We start from the raw sequence: 15,773 nt of genomic DNA on the forward strand, positions 1-15,773 counted from the left end.
TGCACAAGTTCCCTTCTGTTTTTTGCCACCATGTGAGATGTGACTTTCATCTTCTGCCATGGTTGTGAGGCCTCCCCCGCCACATGGAACTGTGAGTCCATGAAACCTCTTTCTTTTGTAAATTGCCCAGTCTTGGGTATGTCTTTATCAGCAGCATGAAAATGGACTAATCCAGAAGGCATGGATATGCAAACTTTCACTTTTGTTCTTTACTTGAGTGTCAGGAAAATATGATGTTGTGGATGGATAGAAGACAAGAGAGATGAAGATTTGTGTCACCATAGTAAAAATTCTAGAAGGCTATGGTGTCTCATATTGGTCTCAGAATTCTAAATCAAATAAAGCACTAAAACAAATGTATTAAACACTCAGAAACCTAAATTTTAGCTGCTTCCTAAGATTGTGAACAGTGTTTTCTCATGATCTTCCTGAAAGCAATTGACAATGCGTTACATTCAACTTGAAGAAATAAGTATTTTCTTCCCTTAAAAAATTTACCAATTTAATTATCATCCAAGGTAATCAATTTTCCACTACTACAATCATCCATTAGCTCTTCAGCTCTTTCTTATTACAATCATTCTCAATGAATCCAACATTCATAACAACACTCTTTGTTTCCCTATTTAGGGAACAGTTCATGCCAAAAATGTAAGGTAGAAGTATCCCTGATATAATTAAAAAATAACAAGGCCAACATACTTGGAAGAATTGGCAATTATGGGGCTGAGAAACAGTAATTGGAGATGAGGTCAGACAAATAAGTAGCAAGGTTATACAGGGTTTCAACTGTCATTGGAGGAGTTTACGTTTCATTTTGAATGTAATGTGCAGCCCATGGGTAAGTTTTAAATAAAGTAATGCTATGTCCTGATATAATCTGATTCAAGTTTTTAAAGGACTACTTGGATACTGTATTGAGAAGATAATATATTTATAACAATATTTGGAATAAGAGAAATCAATTATATGGTTATTACAGTTATTCAAGTACAAGATAATTGTGGTTTCAACCTAGATAGTAGCAGTTGGGCTAGTGAAAAGTGATAAGAATTTGGGTATTTTTAAAAGGTATAGCTAATAATATATCCTGAAGAATTCAATACGGTGAATTTTTTTAAAGTCAGGGATCTCTGTAATGTTTTTAGTGTGAGAAACTAAAAGAGCTGCCCCCAACTGAGAAGGAAAAAGCTATAATAGTTCTCAGGGGTGGGGAAGATCTTGGGTTTGTTGAATTAGAACTTGGGTCTGTTGAGTTGGAGATATCTATTAGACATCCAAGTGGAGATGGCACTTGGGTACACATAGCCAACTCTCTTTGCAGTTAAAGAGTGAGCTAGACTGGAAAAAAAAAAATGAGAGTCATTGGCACATAGATGATCTTTAAAGCCATGAGAGTAAATGAGATCACTAAGCAAGTAAATTAAATAGAGAAGAGAACTCAGCTAAGGACAGAGCCTGCATAAGGGGAAATGGGAAAAGTGAAGGAGACTCAAAAGGCACAATGGTGAACTAGGAAGAAAACCAAGAGACTGTGGTGGTTTCCCGAAAGGCAAGTGAAGGAGGAGGAACTGATCAACTTTGTCAAAAACTATTGATAGAAAAATTAAAAGGACATTTTAAAATTGACCAATGGTTATACCAATACAGATACTACTGATGAACTTGACAAGGCGGCTTCAGTGGAATGATAGAAATGAAAGCTTGACTGCAGTATGCTTAATAGAGATGAAAAGTAGTAGAAATGGAGACAATGAATGAAAGTGAAGAAATAGCATAGTAGGGAAATGAAAGTCTATATATACACATATGTTTAAAATTATCTCTAATAAGTGGTATCTATACAATAATGAGAACCCCTATTGGTAGGAAACATTTGGATATCCCCAGAACAAGGACTGGTCTATGTTGACTGTATTTCAACAAATATTTATCCAGACAGGTAAATAAAATATAAACAAAGCAACCATACTTTTGAAGACTGAATCTACGAAGAACATGAAAGTAGCATAAATGTACAATTCTGAAGAAAATAAGTCTCTGAGACACTTCAATATCCCCCTCTGTTGGAAGACAACCTTCCTTTTCCATACATGATTTAGCTCCCATTAATTTAAGACACAGTTTTCATCATCTAACCACAAATGTGGCATGAGGATGTTGAAGTGAATAATTACTTTGTCATCGTACAAAGTAGCTAACATTGAGTCAACTCTGAAAATTATCTTCTCTCAAACTATTTTTCCTTACCTAGGCCAGATTAATCCCTGCATTCAAAGCACAAAAATGTAATGTTCATCTTATACCATTTTCCTGCCTTTTGGCTGTTAACTTCACTGCAACTTCAGTCTCCAGAACCAATTTGTCAGGTTTCAAAAATATTTTAATAAAGTTGGTATAAATCAATTTTCCTCCTGAAAGCCTTCTCTCAGACATACAATGTGTTGTCTTTTATTTGCTGGATCATCCATCCATATATATTTCATTTGTAGTTCCTTGTCTAGCCCATCAATTGTGATTACATTAATGGCACCAAGTCAGCTCTATATTGCTAGGCCTCCACAGAGGTACTTTTAAAATAATTCTAAGTTAATTCCAACAGTACCTAAAGCTGAGCATTTATTTGATCTTTAACACATCAGTTCAATTATAGCTTCATATCTAATCTTAGTTCAAATACATTCTCCTCCTATTGTACAATAAGAACAGGTCAAATTCTGCATATTCTCATTCATAAGTGGGAGTTGAACAGTGAAAACACATGGACACAGGGAGGGGGACATCACACACCAGGGCCTGTTGGGGGGTGGGGGTCAAGGGGAGGGAGAGCATTAGGACAAATACCTAATGCATAAAGAGCTTAAAACCTAGATGACAGATTGATAGACATAGCAAACAACCATGGCACATGTATACCTATGTAATAAATCTGCACGTTTTGCACATGTATCTCAGAACTCAAAAAAATAAAAAAATTAATAAATAACAGGTGAAATTACCCCATCCTCTCCTTATCTTTCTACAATAAAATAAAGCTTAACTTACAGACAAAGAAAGTTTAAGTTTCTATACGCTGTCTTATTGTTACTATACTAGTAGTAACCCGCTGCCCAAAGCCAACAATAAAATATTTTAATTGAAAAATAAGTAAATAAGTAATAAAATTTAAAATTTTAAGTATGAATGGCTATTATATCATAAAACATGATCATAAACAATAGCAATTCACAACTATGATATCAGTATATTTTGTAATTTTTTAAAAGAGGAAAACTTCTGACAATTTTTCACAACTGAATACAATTGACTATTGAGCTATATTGGGTCAGTGCTAAGGAAATAACATTTCTGTGACCTCACAAAGACAGTTGGATGACCCTTTGTTTAATATTCTGCATTAGTAAACTGTCACTGAGAATCCTGAGGCAGTTCTTGTTTAGATTAGTATTGGTCCATTGTGGACAAGTAGTACTTTGGTTGAATGCAGTAAGAATAAAACAAAGCTTGAAAGAGTTGGAACATCCCAAGTCACTGAACTAAGTGCTAATTGCCTCTTCAAAAGAATGATTATATATTCCATCTGTATCTGAATAGCAAAGAATTGTTGTAATTTTAGACATTGGAAATATTTATGTTTGCTTTGGGAAGTATTTCTCACTGAAACTATTACATGCCACAAATCATAAATGACAAATGAAAATAGAAAAAGCTATTGAAGAAAAAGGGAGAAATACATTGTGTACCAAATAACCTTTGGGAGAAAAATTCAGCAGTCAAATAGCAAAAGCCTAGATTTCAAAAAGAATACTTTGACCAGGAAAGAAACAAATATTATATAAAATTATATATTATATATAATTATATATAATATATATTATATATTATATATAATTATATATAATATATATTATATATTATATATAATTATGTATTATATATTATTATATATTATATATTATATATAATTATATATATTAAAATTATTTGCTAATAAGTGGTATCTATACAATAATGAGAACCCCCTATTGGTAGGAAACATTTGGATATCCTCAGAACAAGGACTGGCCTATGTTGATTGTATTTCAACAAATATTTATCCTATATTTAAACTATATATAAAATTTATCCAAATTATATATATAATTGGATAATATTACATATAATATATAATTATATATAATATATATCATTTTATATATAGATATATCTCAAATTTTTTCTGATTTTGGGGGGCCATAAAATCCTGTGCTATGTATAAACTAAAAATGCAGCCATTCAAGTTTGGCAGATATTGCTAACGGCAGTTCAGCCACATTTGTCTCAGTTCCAGGCTCCTAAAAGATATGAGTTGTTAATACTAGAAAAAGTATGCTGTCCTGGCTGGCGAATCCACACAGGTCTTCCTAACACTGACTGGTTAGGTGAAGACATCATTAGCCTCATCCCAAGAGTTTCTCCACTTTCTTACCTGCCCACTCAAAAAAGAAGCATAACACCACACTGCTGTGAGTTTACCCTTGCTAAAAACGAGAGAAAAATGTATGAGTGAGCAATATACATAGGGAATTTGGTACAATCTCTAACATTTTTCTAACTTTGATTCCTCTAAGCACTTTGAATTCTTCCATCTTTATCTTCTCTTACTTAGACATCAAGGATTTTTAGAACAAATTGGAATGTGTATTGGATATACTATGCATTCTATCTGATATGTTGTTTTTGCTGTGACTTTTTTTTTTTGAGACGGAGTCTCGCTCTGTACCCCAGGCTGGAGTGCAGTGGCATGATCTCGGCTCACTGCAAGCTCTGCCTCCCGGGTTCACGCCATTCTCCTGCCTCAGCCTCCTGAGTAGCTGGGACTACAGTCGCCCGCCACCACGCCTGGCTAATTTTGTATATATATATATATATATATATTTTTTTAGTAGAGATGGGGTTTCACCGTGTTAGCCAGGATGGTCTCTATCTCCTGACCTAGTGATCCACCCGGCTCGGCCTCCCAAAGTGCTGGGATTACAGGCACGAGCCCCTGCGCCCGTCCCTTTGCTGTGACTTTTTATTAAGATCTGGTCCAGTGCCTATATAATGCCTATTTACTCTCTAAAACCATGTGGTAAGAATGGCTTTCTTAATTGAGATCTCACTGATAGGGATTTATTTGGGGGTGTAAAAAGTGTTAGAAGTAATCACCTGATGGAATTTGAAATTAAAAGGAAAACTAAAACTCCTTCAAAATAAAACAAAAATCAATAGCAATAAAAAAAAGGTTTTGGGTTTATTTGTGCAAATATCAGTGGGCTAAGGAAAGGAAACAAAAAAAAGATAGGAAATTTACCATCAGAAGGAGAATAAGTACAATTTAACATGGCTTGACTTATTTAATGTAGCTTGGCAGTCTCAATATATTAAATAAAACAGAAAGAAAGTATACACATTGACAAAACACAGTTAAAATCAATGTTAAAGTAGGGTTGGCTGACCAGAAATGTGAAATAATTGCTGACTTTGAAATTCAGACAAGTTTTTAAAAAAAGGCTCAAGTGTAAGCTTGTATTTGAAGGCATAAAACTGAGAAAATAAAGACTGAAAAAGTGTGGGATATGCAGTGGCTAGGGAGTGTGAGGGGAGAGAAAAAGGGAAAGAAATGGGGAAAAAATGGAAAAAAAAATAAGGAAGAAACTGGGCAGGAGGGACAGAAAGAGATGGCTACATCAGTATCTTCTTTTCTTCCCTTAAACTCCATTAATCTGGCTTTCCTCAGGCCGCAGGTAGCCCTCACTGGCTCCCCAGGAGCTATCCTTTATGGACATTTATCTAGGTATTTGCCAGTTTTTTGCTACAGCACAGCATGACTTTTTTTTTTTTTTTTGAGACAAGGTGACAAAGTCTGGCTCTATCGCCCAGGCTGGAGTGCAGTGGCACAATCTGGGCTCACTGCAACCTCCACCTCCCAGGCTCAAGCCATCCTCCCACCTCAGCCCCCCAAGTAGCTAGGACTACAGGCAAGCACCACCACTCCTGGCTAAATTTTGTATTTTTTGTAGAGACAGGTTTTTTCCATGTTTTCCAGGTCTCGAACTCATGAACTCAAGCCATCTGCTCGCCTCAGCCTCCCAAAGTGCTGGGATTACAGGTGTGAGCCACTGTGCCTGGCCTATAGCATGACTTTTATACCTCTCAGGTATGTTTTTTTTTATTACTATTTTTATTTTTTTTGAGACAGAGTTTCACTCTTTCACCCAGGCTGGAGTGCAATGGCACGATCTTGGCTCACTGCAACCTCTGTCCCCCAGGTTCAAGAGATTCTTCTGCCTCAGCCTCCCGAGTAGCTGGGATTACAGGTGCCTGCTACTGCACCCAGCTAATTTTTGTATTTTTGGTAGAGATGGGGTTTCACCATCTTGACCAGGCTGGTCTTGAACTCCTGACCTCATGATCCACCTGCCTCAGCCTCCCAAAGTGCTGGGATTACAGGCATGAGCCACTGCGCCCGGCCTAAATATTTTTGTTTATATAATTTTATATCTTGAAGGAGTCAGTGATACTGTCCAAACCTATTCTTTTACTGGTAATCAAAGCCACAGAGTTAATTAATGACCAGCTCTCTTTCTTTCCTTTAGAGTCCTCTCATAGAGTTTATCAAGCATAGTAGGACTACAGCAGCTACCTAGTGAGTAACTAACTGCTCTATTAAAACATGTATAGCATGAAATGTTAGTTGTTATCAAATATCCATTATCTTCTTCTTCCAAATCTGATTTTATTGAAGCAGTGTTTACCCTCTTGAAAAGATACATCTCCCAGTCTTTCTTGCAAATAAGGGTGGCTGTGTGTTAGTTAAAATCCTGATCAATGGGATAAAGGTAGATACTGTGTTTAATCAGGCTTCTGGAAAGCTCCTTAAGAAGAAAATAAGTTGCTTGGTAGGGATAATTTGGTCTTCTTCCTTCCTCCTGGAATGTGGATGTGATATTTAGGGCTGCAGTGGCCATTTTTTGGCCATTTTGCTACCTTGAGGATGAAAGCCAAGTGACAAGGATTGCAGAACAGAAATAAGGGAGTCTGGGACCCGAGTCACATACGGAATTGCCTTACCTTCAATGGAATGTCTATCTATAACCTTTTTTTAATATGAAAGAAAATGTAAAATTCTGTAAAACTACTTTTTTTTTTAATCCAGTCTTTTAAAGATCTCAGTTATTCCCAGCCAAACACAATTCCTGACTGATATGGCATAAGTGAAAAGGAAGTGCTCAGGGGATATATATATATATATATATATCCCTAACTGGCTCCCCAGGAACTATCCTTTATGGACATTTATCTAGGTATTTGCCAGTTTTTTGCTACATATGTAGCCCTCACTGGCTCCCCAGGATATATATATACACACACACACACATATATATGTGTATATATATATATATATATATCTATATATATATATATATATATATATATCCTCTCAGGTGTATTAAATATCTACCTGAGAGAGAGAGCGCGGGGGGAATTATAGCAGTCAGAAACTATGACAGCCAATTACGTGGGTAATAGACAGTCAATAAACTGTGTCTGGGTTAGTAAGTACCGATGGTTTATAACTTCGGAGGTTTGGAAACTTTAAAACTATTTGGAGAAGTGAAAGAAAAGCATGATGAAGTTACAGGAGTATAGAATCTGTTAGAAGGAACAGGCTAAAAACTAAGAGGGCTTAGAAAATATTATGATACAAAATGCAAGTATTTGCACATAGTACAAATTGCTAAGCATTGACCATGTAACTAAAAATGGTTATTAGAATTTCTTTCCCTGAAGGCATAAGGTAGATGGCAATCTGTCTAGGTGAGTTTGGTTTCAGTCCAGCCTGAAGGCAGATAGACGAACTGATGACCTCTGAAAGTCCCTTCTGGCCCTATTATCCAACAAGTCTATTTTGCACTGAGAGAAAGTTATTGCTGCTTCTCTATTTGTAGTTATAGTCATCAAGGAGACCTGTACTTCCCTTCTGCACATTGCAGATATTTCTGGTAAATAAGAAACAAAACTGAAAGGAGCAAATCATTTTAGGTGAAATGCAGGCATAAATATTCCTGACAAAAAGCACACTGCTTTTTGTTTGTTTGTTTGTTTGTTTGTTTGTTTGCGGACCGGGGGGGGGGGAATTCCAGCATACAGTGTAGCACATACTATCCCTAGAAGTTGTTCTGCAAAGCAATCCCTACACCTTTACACTCTATCACTCCCTCATGGTTCCCCGTATGTTTGTCATCTCTGCCCAGTTTGATGGGTCTTTCCAGTCAAGTGACTGGATAGAAGTAAACTATGTTTCTTTAGATGTTTCCAATCTAGTAGGGGTATGAAACTTATACATGGGAAGAAAAGACAAATTAAACCAAGGCACATTTGCATGAAAAGCTCACATCAAAATGTAAGTTATATTGTGTTAGGCAACATTAGAATTTTATCCCAAACATATTCCTCTTGGTTCTGCACATTCTGTTTTGCATAATTAATTTAGATGGGTGGAATACAACCCTGACTTACTGAAATGGAACTGAAGTCATTGGCGGAAAGGAGGACACAGGAGTCAAAGCAAGAGCATGACTAGTGCAAACCTCATCTTACACTGGTTTTGAAAATGGGAACAAATGAAACAAACCCAGTTGAAGAGTATAAAAGGATAAGTTATTTTTAATTCTCTAAATAATCATTTTATCTGGATATCCAATAGACACAGGCTAGGAAAATTTGATAGAGTGCACATATATTTCTATACACACAGTCTATATACACACATATATTTCTGTATACATTTATATAAAACAAATTGTATATTTAATTCTACATATAATAAATATTTGGGGATCATTTTACATATACCATTTAGAATAAAGAGAATTTATACCTATTAATATTTCTCTCCAAACTTCTTTGAGACCACTAAAGTAATATTTAATTAACCTAACTAAAAATCAGACAATTCAAGTTCTTAGAGCTACTGCTCTGAGAATATTGGAGAATTCTCAGAGTCATTTATTGAACTGTATAGATTTTTTCTTGGCACTTTCTGGTTTTGTACCTGTACTGTACTCTAAATAAGAACACACCACACATTTCAGCTAATGGGAGTAAAAATTGCTCTTTAGGGCTTGTCCTTCCCATTCTCCTTGTATCCGACACTCAAGCCTTGGCTCGCAAGCACAATGACCTAATCCAGAAGAAGCTCGTTAAGCAGAGCAGATTGATCTCTCTTTGGTCTGCCGCTTCATGGTTTTTTACAACCACAGTGGGTTGTTGGACCGGTTCTACAATCCCTTGTGGCATAAAGAGATCAATCATTTGGTTTCAAGATTTTTCTTAATCGCAAGCCTAATGGAAAGCTAGAACACAAATTCTCAGCTAATGCAAATAAATCTGGGTGATTTACTTTCACTAAAATATTAGTCACTAATGAAGAATTTCTTGCATCTAAATTCAAATATGCAAATGTATGCCAAAAGTTTGGAAATGTATAATATACGTGCATATGTCTCTGTATCTCCACAAGAGTGAAAAAGAAATAATTGTTTGATCTGATTCTGAAAAGACTGACTACGGTGAGCTCAGAAGTAACCAGTCTCATAGCTGTTTCATTTTTCAGAATATTACTTAATGTATTGCAATATTCTGTTATTTTAGTTCATTTGTGCTGTTATAACAAAATACCAGAGGCTTGGTAGCTTAAACAAAGGCAGCTTATTTCTTAGTTCTAGAGGCTAGAAAGTCCAAGATCAAGGTACCAGCAGATTCCATTTTCCATGAGGGCCCATTTTATTATGGCTCATGGAATAAGGTCTTCCAGCTGTGTCTGGATTCCTTCCATGCGATTCCATGGAATAGGGTTTACTGTATAAGTGAAAATAATGGATTATTTAAAAAGCCACAAAAATAGTATTTTTTACAATTATGAAAATATTAGAAATTCAGAAATGAAAACACTGGCTGAAAATCTCTTATGAGCTTTCTCTATAGAATTTGTAAGATTTACTAGAATGACAGATTAGGCTCAACAGATCTCAAGTCTTCTAAATATTTATGGTTAATTCTCATTGGAATGTCCTTTCTTATTCAATGTTTCACTTTCCAGGGTTTGACGGGCTGAGGTTTGAGTTAGCCATAGTCAACTGTCATCTGAAAATAGGTAAATATAGTACAATAAGGTATTTTGAGAGAGAAAAAGAGACCACGTTTATAAAACATTTGTGACAGTAAATTGTTATTGTTCTATTTTATGATTATTGATGTTAATGTCTTACTGAGCCTAATTTATAAATTAAACTTTATCATAGGTATGCATGTATAGAAAAAACATAGTCTGTATAAGATTGGGTACCATCCACAGTTTCAGGCCTTCACATGGGATCTTGGAATGTATCCCCCGTGGGAATACATTATTCAAAATTTAAACTTTCTCTATTGAATGACTTTGAGAAATCTCTCTTTATTTCTTCCAGATTCCATCATGAAAGTTGAAATTTCTAAAGTTTTTTAACTTCTTATTGTTACTGGTGCAGATCTACTTCAAAGAGTCAAAATGAACAGTTCCCTTCCACATTCTTCACCAAATGAAAGCACTAATTTTTCTCAAAGGGATAAGCTACTAGTAAGATTTAGACATTGAATACTTCAAGCTAGTTACATAGTTGTTCAGCCTGTTGTTTGCTCAGCACATTTTTTTCCTTTTCAATCAATTAATAAACCTGACAGGGAATATATAGTTAGCTGAAAAATGTCTTCAGTTGAAATTCTACAAGCCATCTTGCTGCTTTGAGAATGGGTCAGGAGGATGCTGAAGCATCATAATGTTATGCACTTCTCTGGGTTGATATGTTAAGGCCCAGTAGTCAAAATTGGTGAAGGAAAACTCAAGGTCACAGGGTTTAACGCTTGCTTTCCAGCTGATTTCCAGTGTGACTCTTGGGGATGCCATTCAACTTCAGCTTCCTGCTTTAATTCCTTGCTTTTTAAATATCAAGCTGCTGTGTCAAAAAACCAAATAATGAATCATACGGGATTTGGCCTCACAGTTGAGGTCGAGTAGAGAGCTGAGTGACAGTTTGTTATAATTCATACTTTTGAATAATATTAAAACAATGATATATTTTTCAAAGTTAAAGGACAAGAGGACAAAATTTAGGCATGTTATAACAAGGTAGTATTTTAGTAGCTTGCTAATGGTGAAATTATGGTTGCTTAAAATAGTAAACATACCTTCCAAATTTCTAAATGTTATTTGAAAAGGATTTTGCTTAATATGGCTCCTCATGTTGTCGATTTTGACTTTCATTTACACAAACTACATCCAAGTGACACATTAAAGAACAACATGTAATGTGCATCCATTCTGGAGTTGATCAATGTGAGGTAAGGATTACTGTTTATCTCCAAGTTTTATAATTACAGTAATGCACATATATATTTTCTAAGAATAAACTATGCAACCTGCTACACATATGCAACAATTCTAGCTACTATATGCTTAATATTAAAACAATTTCATATAACACCCTTAAAATACTATTGAGAATATACCCTGGTATTTTTTTTTTTTTTTTTTTTTTTTTTACTCTCTTGCTTTTTGTGGTTCTATGAAATGCATTTTAGATAAGTCATACTGTATACCTATTCTAATGTAACTCCTCTTGGTCTATTCCTGAGTATTTTTTCAGGTTCAAACTCCTCTCACTACACTCAAGTATGTATGCTTCAACCTTACCCAATAACTTAGAGATCTTGAACATACAATACTTTATCCTGCACTTATGCCTCTGTATATGTAGTTCCCTAGTTTTGTAATGTTCTTCCTTTCCTCATTTGCCTACCCAATGCTTAGAGTGAGATGCCTGTCAACCATCAGCTCACTTGGGATATCTTCTTGCATCTTCTCATGTAGAATTAGATGTTTCTCGTCTTATTCTTCCTCTTTAATTTTTACCTACCTCAATTACTACATGTGAATTCCATGAAGGCAGAAAATATGTCTTTCTGAATCCCTGGTATTTAGCTAAATATCTGGAATATTGTCACTGCAAACAAAATTTTATTGAAGTTGATTAATCAATTGAATTTTGGAAAAGTCCTTACTGTATTTCTATTGGCACATTTTAAAAAGTCTTTTTGGCCTCATACTCATTATATTTTCTACATTCTTTGTTTTCCACTATCAAGATGAGAAAGATGAAGGAAATATCTAGATAAACACAGGCTACCAGGGCCTATAAATATTCATATAAATTAACACTATCAAGAGTTGTAGAACATTAATATGTCTCTTCAACTGGGGAGAGATTACTTGTCCGAAGGAAGTTGAGTTTTCTGGCTTTTTGTGATTTCACACAAGACTTCCAGCTAAGAGGCTAGTACGTTTGAGAAACAGGTAGAAATAATAGGAGTTGTTTGCACCAAGGGGTAAATCTCCATATCAAAGCAGTTGCTATTTCTTCTACTACAGATACCAGGTATACACACAGAATAAATATTTTATTGGGGTGGGAGCAATGGATACATGTTGTTGACTTACACCTATTTAAAATTGGCCGGACACAGTGGCTCATGCCTGTAATCCTAGCACTTTGGGAGGCCAAGGCGGGTGGATCACCTGAGGTCAGGAGTTCGAGACCAGCCTGACAGTGAAATCCCGTCTGTACTAAAAATACAAAAATTAGCCAAACGTGGTACTGGATGCCTGTAATTCCAACTATTTGGGAGGCTGAGGCAGGAGAATCACTTGAACCCCGGAGGTGGAGGTTGCAATGAGCTGAAATTGTACCAGTGCACTCCAGCCTGGGTGACAAGAGCAAGACTCCATCTCAAAAAAAATTAAAATCAAATCAAATCAAAATTAACTGAAAATAGAGTATATTGCAGCAACAAATGAAGATCCATAATGCACCAGGAATCTCACTACAGAAAAGCTGTGATAAAAAATTATAGAAGTAATGTAACTTCATTTGAAACCACTATTGTCTAAGAAGAGGGACAGATACAGAATCTGAAATGATGTTTTAATGAAGAATACCTCCTTTTAACTTAAAGCCTTCTGTGATCATTTCTAAACTACTAGTAGGCAGTTTACACCATTTGTAAAAATTTACAATTTTTTTTTGTTTCCATAGTTATTCTTAAAAAATAATTCTGTTTGGAGGAAGAGAACATGTTTTTAATATAATATTAACATTCATCAAAGATGTAAATCTATGACAAAGGAATTAACTTCCAATCAACAATTAACTATTTTAGACTACCTTTTGAATTCTCAGCTACAACGTAGGGTCAAATTACTTAGTCATCCTTTCCCCAGAGGTATTTACTTAGTTAGCTAGCTGCCCCTTCTGTCAACATATTCGAACATTTTTAAACTTGAATTCTAAGTCTCTTTAGCAGTATTAATTTAGCAATTATGCCTTATAAATCAGTGTTAAGAAGTCAGATGTCTGCAAAAAAAGCATATTTCTAATTAAACAGAATTTATAAAACTAAGTCCCTGAAAAAATGAACATACATACATACATATGTGCAAATATGCATGTGTATATACGTTTATATATACACACATATACACATATATATTTAGAGCAGTCCTCCATAAGTGCACAATCCTAATTTCATGTAGGTGTCATTTGTCAATATAAACAATAGTGGTATAGGTCTTTCAAAAGGATGAAACACCTATAGAAGTTCTATTCTTTCTAGAAATTGTTGCTTTGCTTCTGGGAAGCTTTAAGCTTGGCCCTGAAATCAGGTAGTGTTAAGGGTCATAGCCTTTCACTAAACTAACTCAGTTACTTAAACTAATCTCTTTGAGTGGAAATCCTTACACCTGAGATAGGCTTGAGACTATCTGATCACCTTAGCACAGCTCAACACAGAGAAAATACAGCAGAATCTACTCTTAACTTGTAAGAGCTTTACTAATCAAAAGTGTTCTGAGCTCACAAACCTAGGTCTTCCTGGGTAATTCCACTTCTTTGTTTCTTAGCTGTAGACTTATTGATGTTTCAAGTCACTTGAGCACAGGTTTCCCTCCCTGTGCTTTAAGCTCAGTGTTGATGACAGATACACTTACTATAACATTGCAAGTGTTATGCAACTATATACCTCTTCTCCATACCTTTGTTTTGGAATTCTGCATGCTGAAATTCCACTCTATAGTATGATTTTATATTTTAATGAAATTTTTAAAATGAGGCTATGACAAGATTAATTAAGTAAAATTAAAAACAACAATAAAGAGCTGCAAATTCATTTTTCTTCTTCAGTAGCTTTACTAAATTCCTTCCTTCCTTCCTTCCTTCCTTCCTTCCTTCCTTCCTTCCTTTCCTTCCTTCCTCCCTCCCTCCCTTCCTTTCCTCCCTCCCTTCCTTTCCTCCGTCCCTTCCTTTCCTCTCTCCCTTCCTTTCCTCCTTTCTTCTTTTCCTTTTTCCATAGTAGTAGCTGGAATAGGATTTTTAACAAAATAACAGCACAGATAAATTTTTCCTTTCTGGAAAATAAAAAAAAAATGGAGTTCTGTAAAACCTCTAGGTTAATTTCTTTTTAGAAAATTTGGAATACATATAAGATTAAGTAAGAAGTTTAAAGAATTACTAATTTTCCCATGGTGAATCATTACAGAAAATAAAGGCTACCATTTAGCTTGGTCCATTTTGAGAATGCCTCTAAGTTCTAAATCACCCCCAGGATTTTTTTTAGCACTTTTCATAAGAGTTTCGTTTTATGGATAGAAATATAAAAGTAAAAAACCAGCTACATAAATTTTTAATTAACAGAAGTTATCATCTAAATTAAATACATTAGAATTATTGACAATAGATTATGAGTGGATTAAGAAAAAATGCAATTGCATATATTAGGAAAGTTATTTTCCAACTGGAAAGTAAAGTAAAATAATCAAATGTAATTTAAAAGTCTGAATATGCATTATTTTAAGGAGTTGGTTGTTATATAAGGGGATCTTTTTCTTTTTTAGTTTACTGATCAAATATGCCAATTAATTATGTCATATACTAATAATCATACAGGAAAATGTTCAGAATAGAAAAACAAAATATAAGAAAAGATGAGTATGTGTGTATGTATTTGTATGTTTTGGGGGTGAGCTTTTCATATGTCAGAGTTTTTTTTCTCCAATCAGTTTTAGTAAAATCTTCACACATGTTATTCTCTTAGATTTAAAAGGACTTCAGAATGTTTGCTAGAAAACAATTACATAGATTGAATAGTCACTTTTGCTAGTGATATAAAAGGTAGAATTCCTCTTTTCACTGACCTCTGAACTTTCTATATTCTTTTAACAGGATAAGGGCAGATGCTGCCACAGAGACTGTCATTCCCACAGACATTTAAATATATTAGCACTTGGGGGCCAGGTGTGGTGGCTCACGCCTGTAATCCAAGCACTGTGGGAGGCAACGCAGGTGGATCACTTTATGTCAGGAGTTTGTGACCAGCTTGGCCAACATGGTGAAACCCCCTCTATACTAAAAATACAAAAATTAGCTGTTGGCACAGGCCTGTAATCCCAGCTACTTGGGACACTGAGGCAGGAGAATCATTTAAACCTGGGAGGGGGAGGTTGCCATAAGCTGAGATCATGCCACTGCACTCCAGCCTGGGCAACAGAGCAAGATTCTGTCTAAATAAATAAATAACTTACCACTTGGCACTACAAATGTAATCTAACAGGGATGTGAATAAAAACAAGGCTTCTCTTGCTTATACCCACTTTAAATGTT

At 35.2% G+C, this 15,773-nt stretch overlaps 1 protein-coding gene and 2 long non-coding RNA genes across 5 annotated transcripts in view; 2 read left to right on the plus strand and 1 right to left on the minus strand.

The window, feature by feature from the left end:
* The window catches only part of LRP1B (LDL receptor related protein 1B), a 1,899,594-nt gene that overhangs the window by 1,228,268 nt on the left and 655,553 nt on the right, over positions 1-15,773 (minus strand). The window lies entirely within an intron of this gene.
* LOC105373649 (uncharacterized) lies at positions 433-8,574 on the plus strand. Its single transcript, XR_001739134.2, has 4 exons — positions 433-518; positions 6,071-6,181; positions 6,621-6,670; positions 8,519-8,574. It is a non-coding gene; the product is annotated as an uncharacterized LOC105373649 (long non-coding RNA).
* Positions 10,124-15,412, plus strand: LOC124906079 (uncharacterized). Its single transcript, XR_007087248.1, has 3 exons — positions 10,124-10,180; positions 11,347-11,403; positions 15,336-15,412. It is a non-coding gene; the product is annotated as an uncharacterized LOC124906079 (long non-coding RNA).

Source organism: Homo sapiens, chromosome 2, assembly GCF_000001405.40.
Source record: "Homo sapiens chromosome 2, GRCh38.p14 Primary Assembly".
NCBI classification, from domain to species: Eukaryota; Metazoa; Chordata; class Mammalia; order Primates; family Hominidae; genus Homo; species Homo sapiens.